Raw genomic sequence first — 18,821 nt, 5'->3', positions numbered from 1 at the left:
AAAAGCATCTGGACTTTGAGACACGGGTTGAAAACTGGGAATAATAGTAATTTTATGAAGGAAGACATTGTAATTGCAGTCTTTAATACATAGGTTTTGTTTAATTTTTCATAATGATCTTGAGATACATGGGACAGGTATTAAATTCCCATTTACCAGGTCAGCTATTGTCTCAGAGGTTGTGATTTACCCAAGCCAGTTACCATCAACAGGAAACATTCTTCTTTGGTGTGTCTTTTCAATATTTGCTTCGGGGCTAAAACCTACAGACTGCTTTTGGAGTGTTGGGATTAGATTTAGTTAAAGGCTCATTATAGGTAACTCTTGTTTTTATGCTTCTGTTGATTTGCTTTATGGTTCTCAATTTGACATGTACTGAAGAATTAGCTGTGGACCTGTGAGTAGCCGCTGCACTCCAGCCTGGGCAACAATGTAAGACCCTGTTCTTAAAAGAGGCCAGGCATGGTGGTTCATGCCTGTAAATCCCAGCACTTTGGGAGGCCGAGGTGGGTGGATCACCTGAGGTCAGGAGACCAGCCTGACCAATATGATGAAACCCTGTCTCTACTAAAAATACAAAAATTAGCCAGGCGTGGTGGCATGAGCCTGTAATCCCAGCTACTCAGGAGTCTGAGACAGGAGAATTGCTAGAACCTGGTAGGCGGAGGTTGCAGTGAGCCGAGATTGTGCCATTGCACTCCACCCTGGGCAACAGAAGCGAAACTTCATCACAAAAAGAAAAAAAAAAAAGACAACACTGAAAAAGCGCCAGGTGCTCAGTGGCTTACACCTGTAATCCCAGAACTTTGGGAGGCCAAGGTGGAAGAATGGCTTGAACCCAGGAGTTCAAGACCAGCCTGGGCAACACAGTGAGTCCCTGTCTCTACAAAAATTAAAAAAATTAGCTGGGCGTGGCAGTGCACCTCTGTAGTCCCAGCTACTCGGGAGGCTGAGTTTGGAGAGTCACTTGATCCCAGGAGGTAGAGACTGCATGATTGCACCACTGCGCTTCAGTCTGGGCAACAGAACAAGACCCTGTCTTGAACTTAAAGACACACCCCCAAGCCCCATTGCGTTTCTGATTCTTAGGTGTTTTTTCAGCTGAAGTATGTTGAAGGAGTTGATTTTGAGTACTACTGCATGGAGAGTGAGGTAGACCCTAGCATTTCCTGCTCCCCCTTGCTCAACACCTCTATGGGGTGGTTTATTTTTATTTTCTGTGCTCTTTTATGGGGCCGGAAGCCATTCACCACAAACACTGTGGAAAGTCTATTCCCTGCCATTCTTTGCAGTGGTGGGAAGCCCAGCCCTGAGCACCTCCTGCCCACACATTTCCTGGCCCCTATCACATGGAAACCATCTCTCTTGTTTTCTTCTCTTAGCAGCCTATACCTTCGGCCTCTTGTGATCACATCATTTCATCTTGGGCTTCAAAACACTTTTGTTGTGATGGCTAGAAAATACTTGGGGAGGTCACAGAGGCGTGCTCCCTGGTGTTGGAGGTTATAGAGGCCAGGGAGCTTGTTTGCAAACTTAGCGGGAGACTCTGCTGCTCTCCTATCTTGTTGGGTTGCAGCTCAGCTCTGGGCGTCTGTAATAAAAGTTTGTGTGTGAAATGACTTAATAACTACGGTTAATTTAAAAGTTTTTAACAAATATAAAAAATAGATTTCTCCTGTGGGAGAAAACACTTTCTAGAACAAGGATCTTAGAGGAGAGAGTAGGAAAAAAGTGGGAGGAAGCTTATGAAGAAGGACTAAACAAAGTATTTTATTTGCTTACATTGATTTTATAGGTAGGTCCAAGTTCTGTCAATGGGATTTTTAAAAAGTATTTTCAAACCACCAGAGAGGCAGCCTGGTGTTGCGGAAAACACTTTGATCTGAAAGTGTTGATTCAAGGACTTGTTCTGCCACTTACTGTCTGTTGACCTTTTGTCGCTAAAATTTAGCAAATAATTACACACTTAGGCTCTGTGCTAGGTAGTGCATGGCATTAGAAAAGATAAGACACAGCCCTATCCTGTCCAGGAGTGAGCGAGCGTGGGCCACATGTCTGGCAAACTGTTAAGCGCCCTCCTGTTACTTGCGTTTCCCTATCATTGCATGAAGGAGGTGGGTGGCATTCTTATCTTCCTGATGAGGAAATGGAGACTCAGCAAGTGTTAGGCTTGAATCTTATTTCTGTCTAGCTGAAAGCGTTTGGGTTACGCTTTGAATGAGATAAGTCATAAACTCAGCATGGGGATAATAATACTTCATACTGCGGTTATCCCAACAAAACGTTAAGTGAAAATATCTGAATGTAATTGCTCTACAAATGTATCATTCCTTTCAGTGCTCACCAGAAGCTCTGAGGGTTCCATGACATACTGCTTTTCTCCCTCAGCTGCACATCCGTTTCACTGACTCTCAGCTAAAGCACTGTGGTGACCAATGGCAGGCCTGGCTCTTCCTGGGAGAAGCGGAGAGACCTCCCTAGGAGCCCCGTTTGAGACCTGCTATTCAGGCCTGTTAAATCCCAGGGATAAACAACTTTGTTTTTAACTTTTAATTGAAATTTTCCCTCATGCGTGCGTATACATGCACGTCAAGAGGCCAGCAAGCTCCCATATGTCTAACAGCTTCAATGATTGTCAACATTTAACCCCAATCTAGTGTCAGGGTATAAATAAGGGGCATCTGATGGCAGAGCTCATTCTTTCTGTTATTACTCCTTCCTTTAAATTTTTGCTTACCATGAGTTAAGTGCTACAGAAATGAACAGAACGGACAAGACGCCTCACTTTCTGAGCCTTAAATTCCAGTAGGGAAGAGAGCCAAATTATTACATAAATGAAATAATTTTGTTGTGAGTGGAGTGAAGGAAAGAAACAGTAAACAATATAATGTGACAGTAAATGGGGCTGGGGAGGGAGCTGCTTAGGGTGGTTAGGAAGGACCTCTCTGACCAGGTGACCTTTAGGCTGAGATCTGACAGCTAAGAAAGAGTCAGCGAAGGGACCAGCCATGGGGAGTGTGTCTGGATATTAGTTATCCCCATTGGCATATGCTTGAGTAGTGGATAAGTATTGCCTTGAGGCCACAAACATCAATTTTTTTTTTTTTTAGATGGAGTCTTGCTCTGTTGCCCAGGCTGGAGTGCAATGGCGCGATCTCGGCTCACTGCAATCTCCACTTCCTGGGTTCAAGCAATTCTCCTGCCTCAGCCTCCCTAGTAGCTGGGATTACAGGCGCCCGCCACCATGCCCAGCTAATTTTTTGTATTTTTACTAGAGATGGGGTTTCACCATGTTTGCCAGGCTAGTCTTGAACTCCTGACCTCAAGTGATCTGCCCGCCTTGGCTTCCCAAAGTGCTGGGATTACAGGCGTGAGCCACCGTGCCCGGCAACATCAAATATTTATTGAGGGAGTGCCTCCTAAAGGTACAGAGCTCTGCCTTGCCATTCTGATCTCATCCTGAAGGGGGATCAAATCCATGCAGGCAGAGTCAGGAAGAGGGAAGGGCCACGGAGGCAGGAAACAAGACACTTAGTCTTAGGGGGCCTGGGAATGCCAGTCAATTCATGCTCCTTCCTCTGATGGCTGAATCTGGAACCACTTGGTATTTCTGAGTCCACAGAGCTTGGTGGAAAGCCTGGGATCCGAGTCTGGTGGGGATCAGGGCCTAGTTCACCGTGATCCTGTGCAAGCCGCTCCATGTGCCTTCTGATTTGTAAAAGAGGAGAGAATACTCTGTCTACCACTGGGGTTTATCATTTTGATCAAAAGAGTTGATGTTTGCTTTGGTGTTGTACAGATGTAGGATATTGTTAATAAGGAGTCCAGATAAGGATGTCGTTCCACCCATTTCCCTTGGTAAATCACTGGAATAACTTGGGTCAGCAAGGATAAGGTGGACACCTTAGAGGTTGGTAAAAATAGAATCTTGCAGCCTCCACTGGAAAGAAGTCCCTTTTAAGGTTTACCTACTTTCCTCCCATCAAGGCTGGAAGCATGAAATGGAGACCAGGTGCTCCCCATTATGTAAACCATATTCCTTCATCTACCTAGACTCTCTTAGGTCCTGCCAGCCTTGTCTTCTTACACTTATATGATCTTCCTCTAATATTTTCCTTTTTTGTTGTTGTTGTTGCTAAATTTCATGTGGGTGGTTCGGGGAAAGGGTAGACTTGCACTCCTCCCCACTAATCAGTGGGATTTTAGGAAGGCTTTGAAAATGGGAAGGATCCTCCCCTCAGATCCTATCACCTTTGGAATGGGAACATGCCCACATTTCCAGAGCGAACAGACACTGGAGTCCTCTCTTCTCAAAGGTGGCGAACCGTCCTGGAGTGACGTGGGGTGTTCTGGCCTGCGAGGAGATGGCTGCCCGCAGAACCTGCCCGCTGGAGGGCGCTGCAGAGGTCTGGCTCCGTGCTTTCAGATGTGTTCGGCCAGGGGCTCCAGGGGCTCCTTCTGAAAGCAGAGAAGCCCCCAGAGGTTGAGAGGGGAGATAAGACGTGAGCCTTTTCAGCTGTGATGTGGTGAGGAGTCAGGGAGGCCGTGAGCACTGTGGGGCCAGAAGTGTTGGCTTCTGTCAGAAACTCGGCCCAGCCTGACCGCTGCCTCCTGGCCCTGTCATTTCCCCTCCATCACGCGCTTCCTTCTGGAAGCCGGAAGCAGGAGGTGGGAAGCTGCGGAGGTAGTGACAAAATCATGGTGTAACAAGAAGCTCCTAGGGCCGAAGTGACTGGAGAGGTGGCCACATACTATGAGAAACACCAGCGCACCGGCAGGGCCTGGGGAGTTCTGAGCTCTCCCGGGCTGTGTGAAGCCGCAGCCAGCCCACTTTTTTCTCAGTATGGCAGTGCCATCTGACCTGGCCCAGCCCATCTTGTTCGGGTCATGGTTCGTCTTCCTGGGCATTCTGATGCATTCCCACTTCATATTTGCACTGGGATTTCAGTTTACTAAGCATTCCACACCCATTACTGCTTTCAATCCCTTCAACAACACTGAGAATAGGTGGGCAGGTATTTTTATCTCTATGTGAATAATAACACATGGGGACTCAGAAAAATTAAAGGCCCCAGGAGAGAAGGCTAGTGAGGGGCAGTGACGCTTAGGGACAAACAACTGGTTCTCCTGCCTCCTGCCTGAGGACTCCTGCCTGAGGAGAATATAGTAACAAAAGCCTCTGTCTTGCAATTGCAGCCATTAACACATCTCTTTCATACCCACTACTCACTGGACTGTTAACTCCTTGAAGACAGAAACTCTGTGTGTGTGTGTGTGTGTGTGTGTGTGTGTATTTAATGGGAGCAGTACTTTCTTGAGGCATAATTACATGAAAATACACTAATGATGCATTTGATATATATATAGCCATCACCCAAGATAAAGATATGGAACATTTCCACCACCCCTGAAGGTTTCCTCGTGCCCCTTTTCAATCCATCCTTCTACCCCAGAGGCAAACAGTGCCCTAATTTCTATCACCTGTGATGCGTTTTGCCTGTTCTTGGACTTCATCTGTATGGAGTCATAGTTTGCACAGAGACTGAATCCCCAGAGCACGACACAGCCTGGCACATGGCAGGTATACAATGCCAAAGAAAGCCTGGTTCTTAAACTACCTGTGAGAGAGAGTTCGTCCCACCGGGAAACTGAGGCGGTGGGCGGTTAGTGACCTGCCAAAGGCACGAGTGTATGATGTGGTGGATCCCGGACTCCAGCCAGCCTAATTCCGAACCCAAGGCCTCCTCCGGGCCCCCAGCCCTCCCTGGGCACTTCCTCCAGGGCTCCGGGTGGAGCGGGTCTGACGATCCCGGACGAACAGCGCCCCCTGCTGCCGGCCCAGGCCCCAGGCCCTCCTCTCCTTTGGGGGGGGATGTGACAGGATGACACAGGCCTTGCGCCCAGCGCAGTGACGGGCACAGGGCAGGGACTTGTGGGATAAAAGTCACCTGCCCTTTTATTTTCCTCGGAAAAGAGCTTTTCCTAAACTTTGGGGGCTTTCTATCTCCAGAATTAACAGACAAAGGGAGAAGAGGTCTTTTTGGTGGAGCGCTGCTGCCCCCATGCGGGTGGATGGCGACACTACCGAAGAGCAGGCGATCAAGCCTGGTATTTTTGGGTTTCAGGTTCTGCGGCTCCCTGAGACCAGCAGATTCCTGGTCTCCGGGTCCCTGGGTCCCGGACGTGTCCATCAAGGCGTCCATTAGGGCCATCACCTAATGGACAAGCATCAGGGTAAGGGGGGAGGTGCTATTGGGGGGGGGTCCCTCAGAGAATCAGCCCTAGCTCTGTGTGGGGGCAAATACGGCCTCCCCACCTCCTTCCCTCCCAGGAGACACTGGCCTGAGCATAAGTCTCGAGGGTCTGCCCTGTACTAAGCAAGCGCTTAATCAGGTGAGATCAAGGTCTGATCTTGGCTGGTTTGGAGGGGCAGCAGAGGTGCGGTGAGGGAGGCGGCTCAGCGGTGGGGCCAGCAGCACCTCCCCAGCCTGCTTGCGGGCCCGGTGCAAGTCACCGAGGGGCCGGCAGCCCCTCCCAGCCTGGCATGTTGGCCTTGCTGCACCTGCGGTTGGGGGGTGGTGTAACGGCCCAGCCTGCTCCCCTCGGCACGTGGCCTGGGGCGATGCTATCTCTAACTCAGTATTTTAAACTCTTCTTTCCAGAGGATGTGGCTTCTGCGGGAGAGCTTCAAAGGGTGCCCTACTTGCCCCTCTTGGTAACCATGACGTCATGGAAATGGGAGGGGACCGCCCCAGCCCCCAAACACCTGGAGGGAAGTGGGAGACTTTTTCCACTTCCTGTTCTACTTGTGGCTACTGACTCAATGTCTGACCTGTTTATTAATTGCAAAATATAGCTCTATGTGTGCTACCCAGAGAGGCCTCAGGCCTGTGTGTCTCTGTGTGAAAGGAGGCCTGCACTCCCCACCCCTCGCCGCGTTGCCCAGGTGGCCTTGACACAGACGCAGGGCGCTGGTGGTCCTGCAGCCTTCCGGCAGCCAGAATGACAGCACTGGGTCTCCATGTGCTTGCTCCCCCAGACTCATCCCAGTCAGAAGCTCGTCTTCCCACACATGGCTCACGGAGGTAGATGGGTTTTAGAGTAGGACTCATGGAGAAACTGAGGCGAACCCACATAAAGTGACTGTTGGCTCTGGACCTCAGTGTGGTCACACAGTGAGGTCAGACTCCCAGGTACCCTGCGTGATTTACCACAGTCCCTGTCCTCCAGGCTTTGTTGGATAGATGTGTGCCTGCCTGGGGGCTGCCCTGAGCAAGGGGCCACCACTCAGGCTTTCCTTGTTCTGAAGTTCTTGACAAGTTACTTTAGCTCTTGGCAAAACTGTGAAGCATTGACTCACCTGACCACTTCCTCTACTAATCCCCACTTTCCTTTCTCCTGTACTCCCCACTCCTCACACTCAGCTCCCCCCACCCAGAGCCTAACTGCAGGAGTCATTCACTTATTCATTTAACGGCATCTGTTGTGTGCCAGGCACTGTTCTAGTTCCTGGGGACACATTGATGACAAGGGACATTCCCATCCCACAGAGCACACAGGCCAGGGGACTTCCACACTAGGATGGTACCTGATAATAAGGTGCTATAGGCCTGTCTGTATACGTGATCCCAGGGGAGTTGAATTTTATGTTTGGACCTAAAAAATAAGCAACTCCTTAAGACTCAGATGGCTGCCCCCAGTGAGGGTAGCAGCAGAGGGGTTGCTCTGTCAGAGCTGAAGACCTCACCAGGATGCTCCTGAAGCACGTGCTTGCATAGCCTGCCCTTTCTCCTGAGTGGCTGTGACTCCAGTTGCACTCAGAGGTCAAGTCTTCAAGTGAAGTTTCAGAGAGTCCTCTAGAATCTTAGGGCTGGGGCCACAAGAGCTCATTTAGTCCATTCTTCTGCCTTTGGGACTGGCCTGTGCTTAAGTCTTTTGGGAGAGTAGGGCATGTGTCCAGAGAAGTCCCTTCTACAACTGGCCTTAGTAACATGTTCCCTGCTGGGATGTCGGCCTGAGGTTGGGTCCAGGCTGGTAGAGCTGCAGCTGCAGCTGCAGCCCAAGGCCTTGGCTCGCAGGGTCTGTGGGTCTTCATGGCCAGTCTCTTCATGACTGTGTTTTCCAGGTCTCCTCAGCTGCCTATTCCCTCCAGGCTAAGCAATGCCCAGTTCCGTATAGCTGGGCCCTCTGCACTGAGGGGCTTTGCTGTGGTGGCGTTAGGCCCAGTGCTGACTTGGCCGGTGGGCACAGGAGCCCTTCTCCTGAGCCTCCTCACAAGGCCGTTCTAATTCCCTCTGACATACCAGGTGGGCCCTGGAGCCAGATATGCGAGCAGAGCAGTCGGAGATGGATGGAGTTTCTATCCCCACTCCCAACACTTGCTCACCCTCGACCCACTTGCTCCTGGTCCACCCCTCTGACCTCTGCCCTAACTGGCTTTAGGTTTAACAGCCTCGGACATGAGGGAAGGTTCTTGCTGAATCAAGGATCTCCTGGATTTAGACGGAAATTTCTCAGGGGTGGAGCTGAGCCTGCTTTCCGGATGTCCCCCTACCTGCCCGGGCCTTGTCATCGTGCCTCCCTGCTTGGGTGTGGGTGGGTCCATAGCCCCTGCTGCATCACCTTGCATAGATCTGTGGGCGGCCTTGGGGGACCAGTGACTGCTGGGCTTTGCTGCCTGAGGGCACTGGGCTGGCAGGCCTCCACAGGCCTCCACAGGCTCCCGCAGACCTCCACAGGCCTCCACAGGCCTCCACAGGCTCCCGCAGACCTCCACAGGCCTCCACAGGCCTCCACAGGCTCCCGCAGACCTCCACAGGCTCCCGCAGGCCTCCACAGGCCTCCACAGGCCTCCACAGGCTCCCGCAGACCTCCACAGGCTCCCGCAGACCTCCACAGGCCTCCACAGGCCTCCACAGGCTCCCGCAGGCCTCCACAGGCCTCCACAGGCTCCCGCAGACCTCCACAGGCCTCCACAGGCCTCCACAGGCTCCCGCGGGCCTCCACAGGCCTCCACAGGCTCCCGCGGGCCTCCACAGGCCTCCACAGGCTCCCACGGGCCTCCTGCAGGTCTCCTGCAGTCCGGGTCTCCTCTGAGGTTCTTGGAGGGGTCTGTCTTTGACCCCTTCACTGCTGTCCAGGCTCTTGTCTCCTTCCCTCAGCCCTGTGACTTCCATGTCACTGCAGCCAACTCAAAGGAGCAGACCTGCCTCCCCAGCCACCCACACTTCCCTTGCCTGAATCTTTTTTCTATAAAACAAAATGAAGTACCACTTCAGGGGGAAAAGAAAGAGAAACTAACTGGCCCTCAGTTTTTAATGGTTGATAAAGGCTTGCTCTATTAACTCTCCCAGGGGCATTTTCATTTAATACAGGGAAGAGAATGCTTTAATTATAAGAAATTCCCAGTGGTGGAATCTCTGGCATTGTGTCAGACTGGTGAGGAGGTAGAGGCCCCCCAGAGCTCCCCAAAGGTGGCAAACCCCGCCTTTGTGAAGGTGGTATGGTCCTACCACGTGCGAGAGTGACCCTGCTGTGATGGAGGTCTGAGCCCTTTCCCTTTGGTGTTATTTAAGGGGATTGTATTTAGGTGAGAGATGGGGCAGCTTAGAAAGAACTGGGGATTCTGTGACTCCCGTCAGTAGGGCTGACCAGGAGAAGGGACACTGGTTCTTAATTCTGCAGGGGTCACAGAATCAGAGGTGCAGGGAGTGGGAGGTAGCCTCCAGTCCTACCCGACATTTCGTAAGTGGCAACACATAAGCCTGTAGAGGGGAGGGATGTGCTCTAGGTCACCTATTAAAGCTGGTACAGGTTAAGCATCCCTAATTCAAAAATCTGAAATTGGAAATGCTCCAAAATCTGAAACTTTTTAAATGCCAACATGATGCTCAAAGGAAATGCTCACTCACTGGGGCATCTTGGATTTCAGATTTTTAGATTAGGGATGCCGAATTGGTAAGTATAATGCTAATATTCCACCCCCAGCCTCAAAAAAAAAAAAAAAAAATCCAAAACCTGAACACTTCTAGTACCAAGCATTTCAGATAAGGGATACTCAACCTGTAGCTTCATCCCTATGAAAAGAAGCAGGCCTGAATTGTAGCTGAGATGATTTATGTATTTCTGGCTGGGATGGTCAGACGCATAGGGGAACCATGGAGTTATTCAGGGATGGAACCCCCTCCCACCCTGGGCATTGGTAAGCCTCAGCTTTGGGTCTTGGTAGCTGTGCTTGCTGGGTGGATGGTGGAGTGGTCTCTAAGTTGTGTTTCCCTCAGCATCCATGACCCTGGGGAAAGGTGCTCTGGCAGCAGGAGTCTCAGGAGGGAGAGCGCAGTGAGCTGTGGACCCCAGGAAGCCCCATGTCTTTTCTCTTAGGTGAGAGCTCGAGGCCTCTACTCTCCTCGGTCAAATCTCTGGGCTTGTGGGGAGACAGCTCATCTCCTTTTTTCCTCATTCTCACATCCGGGATGGTGGGAACATAAAGTCCTGCTGGGGTCACAGCTTCCTCTCAACCTTGCTCCTGGTGTCAGCTTGGGCACCTCAAAGGGCTGGCGTGGGGCTGGATCAGGCAGCAGAGTGGTGGGTGGTCCCCAGCCACGAATTTGTGAGACAATGCACAGTTTCAGTGGAAACCCAGTCTGAGAGGAGAGGCAAAGGAAATGCTCCTGGAGGGCAGGAGACAGTGGGTGGCATTTTGGGGACACTTGCTGTGTGGTCCCTGTCTGCCGCAGGTCACTGCCACCCATGTGTGTGGGCTCCTGTTATGGGTGGTCCCGTGGCGTGGCATGAGAGTGGGAGAGGAGGGGTCCAAGCTGGTAGGTGGGTTTTCCTGGCCCTCAGCATAGCCTGCTAAGCGGAAGCTTTTAGAGGTTATTCCAAGAAGAGGTTGACTTAGGCAGCTTGTTGAATGAGGCTTCCTGGACAGCATCATAGACAAATGCCTTGGTTTTTCTCTGCCCAGCTAGTGATCACCAGCAAGCAGAAAATGACTCCTACCAAACCCAGTCAAACAGAGGCACAGTCTCTGCTCTTCCAAATCATTTTAATGAAGGCATCGGCAGCAGGACATACAACACGCCCAGATACACAGCATAGCAGGGCCTCGATAATGAGATAATTTCCCCCCACGTCTTGAGAAGAAGAATACTATGTATTTCTTTATGAACACTATTAAAAAAAAATAAACCCCTCACAACATTCTGCAGGACCTAGAGCCCAAGAGAACCCACTGAAGATCCATCATCTGTGGGATGGCGGAGGCAGTCTCTGGGGAGCAGGAGGGAATGTGCACAGCCAGGGGAGGCTGCAGCAGCCTTGCCTCTGCCGTGAATGTCAGGCAGTGACAAGCAGCAATAAGGGAACAGAGGGGGTGGCAGCAGTGTTTGGCAGCTCTTCAGCAATCTTAATCATAAATTCGGGTAGGATCCAGTTGGTGGCATTGCCGGGGGGGCACAGAGGTGGTAGCAGCTTTCACCTCCTTGGGGGTAGGAGAGTTCCCTCTGTTTGGAGAGGGAGAAGAGGGGCAATGCAGAGGAAGGAGCGAGGGAGCACAGGCTGTCTTACAATCTTGCAGATCTGGAATGAGGAAGAACAGAAGTCAGGCTGGACACTGAGGAAGACCCAGGACTGTTAGGGATGTGATGGTGATGGCTCTGTTTGGGGCTATGTGGTAGAGTTCTAGGAGCAAATGTACCCTGGAGTTCTTATTTTTTTTATTATTTGAGACAGGATCTTGCTTTGTCTTCCAGGCTGGAGTGCAGTGACGCAATCACAGCTCATTGTAGCCTCAACATTCCAGGGCTCAAGCGATCCTCCCATCTCAGCCTCTTAAGTAGCTGGGACTACAGGTGTGCAGCACCACACCTGGTTAATTTTTTCACTTTTTGTAGAGGCGGGGTCTCCCTGTGTTGCCCAGGCTGGTCTCCAGCTCCTGTGCTCCTCCTGCCTCTGCCTCCCAAAGTGCTGGGATTACAGGTGTGAGCCCCCGCACCCAGCCTGGAGTTTTTTTTTGATGGTGATGGAACAGGATGCAGTTGTCAGCAAGACGACTGGGGACCCTGGGGGAGGAGGGTGCGGAGACTCTAGCCAGGATTGGGGTGTAATATGAGTGTAATGTCTTCTTTCTACTGAGCTAAGAGAGCCGTACTGGGGAGAGAGGACATGAGGAGGTTACACGGTGAGAGAAGTACAACACAAGGCATGTGGTGTACACAAGTGTCTCTCTTCCTCCACTCATTAGCTGTGGGGCCTCAGTTTCTTCGTTTCTAAACAACTGTTCTTCCTACCTCATAGGGGAGAAGTGCAACTGAGGCGGCTGAAATGAGGATATTTTACAGCGTTTCAGGCCATTATTATTGCACAAGAGGAATTTGTAACAGGAAGAAGTAGGAGAGTTTGGTGGGCTCAGGCTTTGGACTTAAAAGCAAGACCCTGCAGGGAGGTTTGCTCTCAGAGCTTAGGATGCACCCAGAGACCCGCGTCCCTAAACCCCACTCCCAGCTTCAAGGCCCCTCACCTCAGCTGGACCACAGCCGCAGCGTCATGAGCAGATTAAACCCGGCCACTTTCAGGAGGAGGATTCGGAACCCAATCACTGACAGGTTTTGAAAGTTTAGGTTCGTATCTGTAAAACCAAGAGGCCACAGCGGTTATGGGCTTGCATGTCCCAGGCCTGCATGGCCTGCAGGACACACCCACGGTTTTCCCCAAGGCAGAGCAGGCTGGGTGGGGGAGGCCTGCAGCTCCTGCACCTCCTGTCCCTTGCAGCTTCTGTGCATATCCCCTTACAAACAGATTCTGTGCATTCTTCCAGGGCCAACAGTATTGTGTTTCAAGACAGGAAACACCGACTAGACTTGGCTCTTATTTTATTTCTGAGCCCTTCTGGGGATGGGGTAGGTGCTCAGAATTTATCATCACAATACCTCGGGTCCAGATGGGCCCCTTAGTGAGTTCCGCTACCACAGGAAGGATGACTCAATAAGAACAACTCAAATGGAAATGAATATGGGCCCAGGGTGGGTGTGAGGAGTGGCAGGGGATTCTTGAGAGACAGGACCATTGCCCACAGCCTATGTGAGTACTGTTGCTTGTCTTGAAAGAAGGCAAAACCTCTTGGCTGTCCTCAGGATGATCTGGTTCGTTTAGGGCTATCCCTAAGGGACTCAGAAATTTCACAGCTGGGCCACCCAGAAGCTCTCTCTGGCTCTCTTGACAGTGGAGCTGTTGAAAGGAATACAGAGGCCTAGGAGAGAGTCCTTGGTCTATTGAAGCTAGAAACTCATCCTCAAAGTGCTTAGAATGGAAAGTCAGAGATGGTGAGAGGGATTCAGGAGAGACCCCACCCAGCTCTGGGCAGGTCTTGAACCGCTGTTTCCATTCCTCATCATTCATTCCCACATCTACTAATTTCTTCCCACTCCCTCATCCAGGCAGGGTTATTGCGGGTTCATCACTTCCGCAATCCTGTGCAAACCCAGGCTAGACCCCTGTCTTACCTGTTTCAAAGCTTTTCTCGACCAGCTTGACATCACAGGAACTTTCTAAAAGGAAAAACAGACATTCTTTCAGCATCCAGAGCAGGCTGACTCTCCCACCCCAGACCTCCTAGTTCTTGGGCAGGTGAACAACTACAGCCTTTCCATGCCTCCTTGTGGAGAGATCTGGAGGGAACTTACAGCATATGAGCACCTGCTAGGGAGAGCCCCTGGCCCTGGCAGGACCGATACCTCGGCTCCTGGACACCATTTCTATTTACTCAATATACACTGTTTGTACAAAGTACATGTTGCATGACCCTGGCCACATGTGCCATCACACATAGACCCTGCTCTTGCCTGGCTTCATTCTAGAGTCCAATGGAGGCAGCGAGGCATACATAGTGACAAGGGCCATAAAGAGTATAAACACGTACTTTCATATGTTCCAAAAAGTTTTGATCCCTGCACCCCAAATTTTTTCCTTGGTTTCTTCTTAGTAAACGGCACTATCATTGACTCAGCTGCTCAGGCCAAAATCCAGCTGCCTTCCTTGATCCCCTCTTTGCTTTCTCATCCCTGCATGGTTCTACCTTTGAAACCTGAATGGTGTTGGTTACCTCCCTGCCACCACCCTGCCCAGGCCTCCATCATCTCTCTGCTGCAACTGCTCCCTTTCTGCTTCTACTCTTGGCTTACAACCCACTCTCCGTACAGCACTCAGATTGATCTTTAAGAAAAGCAGGCCGGGTGTGGTGGCTCACGCCTGTAATCCCAGCACTTTGGGAGGCTGAAGCGGGTGGATCACCTGAGGTCAGGAGTTCGAGACCAGCCTGGCCAACATAGTGAAACCCTGTCTCTACTAAAAATACAAAAAATTAGCCAGGCATGGTGGCGGGTGCCTGTAATCTCAGCTACTCGGGAGGCTGAGGCAGGAGAATCACTTGAACCTGGGAGGCGGAGGTTGCAGTGAGCCAAGATGCACCATTGCACTCCAGCCTGGGCAACAAGAGCAAAACTCCATCTCAAAAAAAAAAAAAAAAAAAAAAAAAAAAAAGAAAAGCAAATTAGGTGTCCCTCCCCTGCTTGAAGCCGATCAACAGCTTTCTGGCGTCCTTAGAATACTGTCTACCCTCTCATGGCCTAGAAGGCCCTGTGACCCGGCCCTGCCTCCTTCATTCAACTCATGCCTGCTGCTCTTCTCCTTTCTCATTGAGCTCCTGTCCCAGGCCTCTATAGGGTCCTCTCCCTGCCCTTGGTAGGGCTGGTATCTTCAAGTAGCATTTCTTCAGAGAGCCCTTCCCTGACTTTTGTCCTGAAGGTAGCTGTTTTCTCAACCCTGAGTTAAAACACATTCCAATCTGAAGTTATTTGGACTTTTCCCAGCTGACAGATGGGCTCCCCCAACTAGAATGGTGCTTCCTCTGGGCACACCCCTCATCTGACTTTTTAATTCCTCCACTTCAACACCTGGTGCATTCATGTGCCGGCACAATCAGTGATTGGTGGGTTAATGAGTGACTGCGTGAGACTGACTTAGTGAGCTGGGAAAGATTTTTTGGCAGACAGGGAGAAATAAGGAGAGGCAACTTGGAGAAGGGGCTTAGAATGAGGCCTAGAAGAGCAGTAAGGGGCAAACAGTCTGAGCAAAGGCAGGCAGGCAGGAACTCAGTTGGAGAGACTGAGGCTGGGCCACGTGCCCTCTCCTGCCACCTTCTCTTCATCTGCTTTTTTCCCGTGTCATTCTCTGGACTGCCAGAACAAGGCTCACTGTTTCTTAGTAAAAAGAGGGTTTTGGTGGCAATGGATAAGGCCGAGACCACCAATCAGAGGAGTTTTAGACATCATTGACCAGAGCTCTGGGCAGAACCTGGCCATTCCTGAAGCAAGGAAACAGCCTGCGAAGGCACCAAAGCTGCCCTTACCTGGGCTGGGGAAGAAGGTGTCTTCTGGAATAATGCTGTTGTTGAAGGCGTTTGCACATGCAAAGTCAGATTTGTTGCTCCAGGCCACAGCACTGTTGCTCTTGAAGTCCATAGACCTCATGTCTAGCACAGTTTTGTCTGTGATATACACATCAGAATCCTTACTTTGTGACACATTTGTTTGAGAATCAAAATCGGTGAATAGGCAGACAGACTTGTCACTGGATTTAGAGTCTCTCAGCTGGTACACGGCAGGGTCAGGGTTCTGGATATCTGTGGGACAAGAGGATCAGGGTTAGGACATGATCTCATTTCCCTCTTTGCCCCAACCCAGGCTGGAGTCCAGATGCCAGTGATGGACAAGGGCGGGGCTCTGTGGGGCTGGCAAGTCACGGTCTCATGCTTTATACGGGAAATAGCATCTTAGAAACCAGCTGCTCGTGATGGACTGGGACTCAGGGACAGGCACAAGCTATCAATCTTGGCCAAGAGGCCATGATTTCAGTGAACGTTCACGGCCAGGCCTGGCCTGCCACTCAAGGAAACCTGAAATGCAGGGCTACTTAATAATACTGCTTATTCTTTTATTTAATAGGATCTTCTTCAAAACCCCAGCAATATAACTCTGGCAGAGTAAAGGCAGGCATGGGAAAAAGGCCCAGCAAAGCAAACTGTACATCTTGGAATCTGGAGTGGTCTCCCCAACTTAGGCTGGGCATTAGCAGAATGGGAGGTTTATGGTATGTTGGCATTAAGTTGGGAAATCTATCACATTACCAGGAGATTGCTCTCTCATTGATAGAGGTTTTGAACTATAAATCAGAACACCTGCGTCTAAGCCCCAGCACTACCGTTTACTCGATATAAGGCCTTGAGCAAGTCACAGCAGCTCCTTACATCTCAGGAATTTCACCTGCAAAATGAATATGGTGCCTCATCCACCTTCCTAGCCAGGCTCTTCTGAGAAAGAAATGAGAGCTTCTCCATATAAACATCTATTTAATAAACTGTAAAGTACCAAACAAATGTTAGTTGGAGCCACTGACCCTGCCAGAATATGGCCGTGATAGAGTGCTAGTGAGTCATGCAGAGCCACAGCGTCTATCCTTCACCCTCAGAAAGCAGGAGCTGCTGGAGGCTTTTCCTTAGTGCTGAGACTCATTCTTCAGTATTTCCGTAGGATTTTGTGTTTTTAATGTGACTCTCATTGTTTATTCTTTCCGACCTCCTGCCTTTTGAGGAGGAAACAGAGGTTTGCCGGAGGATTAGCATGTTGGGGCCACCCAGAGAGTTTCCAGCAGGGTGGGGATTAGAATTTCCCACCCAGTGGTTCTCTGCTCCCACAGCCCCTCACATGCGCACAAGATTTCTCAGACCCTGGTGATTCCCCGACAGTTGCTGAGCCAGCCCTGGTGGCCTCGGCAATGCAGACATCCAGCTGGATCCAAAACCAAAGAAATCAGCCCCTGGGATGCTGAGTGGGGGCAGAGCTGCCTGCAGCATAGGGCTGTCCCTGGAGCAGTGGAGCAGGGGTGGGCTCCATGGTCAGAGGGGAGAGACATCCAGAGCTTTGGCTCCAGAGGATTCTGCCTACTTCCCTCCTCATGCTTGGGCAGCCTGACATCACTCTGGGTGAAGGCCCTAAGGCATAGTTCCTTTGCTGGGAAGGGACAGACAGAAAGCCATTAGCTCTACCAACACATCCCCCTGATTGTTAGTCATCAGTGGGGGTACTGGACAGCACTGCAGAGGGGGAGAGGAGTCTGGAAGTGCCGATCCTCAAGGCAGGGGATCAGGGGCCACCAGATGCAGGTTGGCTTTAAAGAGGAAAGGGGGTGGCCTTGTGGGGCAGAAACCCAACTTTGAGTCCTGGTTAAACACTCACTCAAGTCCTGGGGCTGGTGGGTGTCAGACTGGAGAAGATCTAGGCTGCTCTGTCTGGTATAATAGTCTCTAGCTACATGTGGCTGTTGAAATAAAAATTAGTCAATGTGAAATAAAATGTTTTCAATTAAAAATGGAAACTTCATTTCAAGAGCTCAATAGCCACATGTAGCTGGTGGCTATTGTATGGGACAGTGCAGATTGACAGGACATTTCCATTGCCACAGAAAGTTCTATTGGACACTGTTGGTCTAGAAAGCGCAATGCCACAGAACACAAGACTCTGAGAAATGGCAACAGGGGCTGAGTTAGAGGTACTTAATTTTTTTAGCCTTTTTATCCTTTCATTCCCATGTACCTTTTATACTTTTTATCCCCATGTACGTCTAGTTCAACCTTATCTCTTTGCCGCTTTTAATTTGGAGGTGTTTAGGGGTCTGTCTGCCAGAGTCCTTTGGGGAGAGACATCCTATTCTACCCTAGTAAGAAAAACACATCCCATCACTGATGATATCAGAAGGTAGGCTTGGCAAGACGGAACCAATGTTTTGAGGTGGAAATTCAGCTATTCTAGATCCTAAGCTGTCCTTTAAATTCAAAATGAACTGCAGAAGCACATGTGCTCTAGTGCTTTAGATCCCTAGGGACACAGCAGTGATTGAAAGCTTCCTTACCATTAAATCTGTCCCCCGTGTTTGGGCACTAGGGACCCAGAAATCAGAATTAGTGACAGTCACTCTGGGTCCCACCGAGGCTTTAGTGAGCATCAGGAAACTGTGGGCATGGGCAGACGTACGGGGAGAAGTGGAAACTCTGGTTCCTTTGCCAAATTGCAACTGGGAGGTAATACTTTCATACCATGCCCCGTGTCTCTATTACAGAATCCCTTAGGTTTCTCCTCCTCTAAGGTGTGGGATGACCCCTCTCAGAGCCCACTGAGGAAGGAGAGGGGAGGTCTGCGGCACCATAGCTGGCTGCTCTCACCTTCACTTCTAGTCTGCATCTCTAAATCGGATTCTCAGTTTCCCAATGGCTGGCCCTGGCCCTAATTTCTGTATTCTGTTGAATGCTCTAGTATTTCCTTTTTCCATGCCTAAAAAGACATCTTCTCTGACTACTTTTCAACCAATTTTATTATCAGATGTATACTTAGGCTACTTTGCATGTGCCTTGATTATTCCCAAGATCATGCCTTCTTTCTTGTCGTTCCCTACGCCCAGAACTTCCCTTCTCTCCTTTCTCTGCCCATACAGATCTTATCCATCCTTCAGGGCTCAATGAATCCTTTGTACCACAGGAAACTTCTCAGTCTAGGCCAACTTCTCAGCCAGCACCCTATCCCCTCTGAATCTCTATTGTGTCCATTGACATCATCAACTGGTCAATACTAAAATAGTTTTCTGGCTGCTTAATTTACAATAGTTCAGTACCTTTGTCTAGTTTTTATACCACTTGAGGACAGGACAGGAATCTATCTCACACTTCATACTCAGTCTAACATTTTATAGAGTGATAGTCACATAGAAGGCAT

General features: G+C 50.2%; 2 long non-coding RNA genes, 2 gene segments (V, D, J or C) and 1 further gene, besides 10 other annotated features; 1 reads left to right on the top strand and 4 right to left on the bottom strand.

Annotated features, from left to right (window-relative positions):
* Positions 1,195-1,274: an enhancer, noted in NCBI's record as "active region_8135". NCBI's record gives its function as "activates an Ori minimal core promoter by ATAC-STARR-seq in GM12878 lymphoblastoid cells {active_cell/tissue: GM12878}" and the evidence as "EXISTENCE:reporter gene assay evidence [ECO:0000049][PMID:35858748]".
* Positions 1,749-6,619, bottom strand: LOC105370399 (uncharacterized). Of its 3 annotated transcripts, XR_007064065.1 has the most exons (3): positions 5,642-6,619; positions 4,252-4,458; positions 1,749-3,708 (listed from the first exon to the last, which is right to left on the bottom strand). It is a non-coding gene; the product is annotated as an uncharacterized LOC105370399 (long non-coding RNA). The 3 variants fall into 3 exon arrangements; XR_007064066.1 differs by having other exon boundaries at positions 1,749-4,458; positions 5,619-6,619; XR_943590.3 differs by having other exon boundaries at positions 1,749-4,458; positions 5,482-5,802.
* Positions 5,518-5,727: an enhancer, noted in NCBI's record as "active region_8134". NCBI's record gives its function as "activates an Ori minimal core promoter by ATAC-STARR-seq in GM12878 lymphoblastoid cells {active_cell/tissue: GM12878}" and the evidence as "EXISTENCE:reporter gene assay evidence [ECO:0000049][PMID:35858748]".
* On the top strand, positions 6,123-6,874 carry LINC02332 (long intergenic non-protein coding RNA 2332). The gene is made up of 3 exons (NR_146543.1): positions 6,123-6,234; positions 6,332-6,393; positions 6,663-6,874. It is a non-coding gene; the product is annotated as a long intergenic non-protein coding RNA 2332 (long non-coding RNA).
* Positions 6,428-6,477: a silencer, noted in NCBI's record as "silent region_5586". NCBI's record gives its function as "represses an Ori minimal core promoter by ATAC-STARR-seq in GM12878 lymphoblastoid cells {active_cell/tissue: GM12878}" and the evidence as "EXISTENCE:reporter gene assay evidence [ECO:0000049][PMID:35858748]".
* Positions 6,588-6,927: an enhancer, noted in NCBI's record as "active region_8133". NCBI's record gives its function as "activates an Ori minimal core promoter by ATAC-STARR-seq in GM12878 lymphoblastoid cells {active_cell/tissue: GM12878}" and the evidence as "EXISTENCE:reporter gene assay evidence [ECO:0000049][PMID:35858748]".
* Positions 6,978-7,077: an enhancer, noted in NCBI's record as "active region_8132". NCBI's record gives its function as "activates an Ori minimal core promoter by ATAC-STARR-seq in GM12878 lymphoblastoid cells {active_cell/tissue: GM12878}" and the evidence as "EXISTENCE:reporter gene assay evidence [ECO:0000049][PMID:35858748]".
* Positions 7,658-7,787: an enhancer, noted in NCBI's record as "active region_8131". NCBI's record gives its function as "activates an Ori minimal core promoter by ATAC-STARR-seq in GM12878 lymphoblastoid cells {active_cell/tissue: GM12878}" and the evidence as "EXISTENCE:reporter gene assay evidence [ECO:0000049][PMID:35858748]".
* TRAC (T cell receptor alpha constant) lies at positions 11,053-15,679 on the bottom strand. The segment is given in 4 exon segments: positions 11,053-11,580; positions 12,521-12,628; positions 13,503-13,547; positions 15,406-15,679. Coding segments are annotated over 3 exon segments (427 nt in total), but the record flags the coding sequence as incomplete, so codon positions are not given.
* TRA (T cell receptor alpha locus) overlaps positions 11,053-18,821 on the bottom strand; it is a 930,229-nt gene continuing 922,460 nt past the window's right edge.
* Positions 12,299-12,348: an enhancer, noted in NCBI's record as "active region_8130". NCBI's record gives its function as "activates an Ori minimal core promoter by ATAC-STARR-seq in GM12878 lymphoblastoid cells {active_cell/tissue: GM12878}" and the evidence as "EXISTENCE:reporter gene assay evidence [ECO:0000049][PMID:35858748]".
* Positions 12,439-12,598: an enhancer, noted in NCBI's record as "active region_8129". NCBI's record gives its function as "activates an Ori minimal core promoter by ATAC-STARR-seq in GM12878 lymphoblastoid cells {active_cell/tissue: GM12878}" and the evidence as "EXISTENCE:reporter gene assay evidence [ECO:0000049][PMID:35858748]".
* Positions 12,609-12,688: an enhancer, noted in NCBI's record as "active region_8128". NCBI's record gives its function as "activates an Ori minimal core promoter by ATAC-STARR-seq in GM12878 lymphoblastoid cells {active_cell/tissue: GM12878}" and the evidence as "EXISTENCE:reporter gene assay evidence [ECO:0000049][PMID:35858748]".
* Positions 12,779-12,918: an enhancer, noted in NCBI's record as "active region_8127". NCBI's record gives its function as "activates an Ori minimal core promoter by ATAC-STARR-seq in GM12878 lymphoblastoid cells {active_cell/tissue: GM12878}" and the evidence as "EXISTENCE:reporter gene assay evidence [ECO:0000049][PMID:35858748]".
* On the bottom strand, positions 18,087-18,148 carry TRAJ1 (T cell receptor alpha joining 1 (non-functional)). The segment is given in 1 exon segment: positions 18,087-18,148. A coding segment is annotated over 1 exon segment (62 nt), but the record flags the coding sequence as incomplete, so codon positions are not given.

This window comes from Homo sapiens, chromosome 14 (assembly GCF_000001405.40).
Source record: "Homo sapiens chromosome 14, GRCh38.p14 Primary Assembly".
In the NCBI taxonomy this organism is placed as follows: domain Eukaryota; kingdom Metazoa; phylum Chordata; class Mammalia; order Primates; family Hominidae; genus Homo; species Homo sapiens.
Note: the sequence above shows the minus strand (reverse complement) of the source record. Positions and strands in the feature narration are given on the sequence as shown.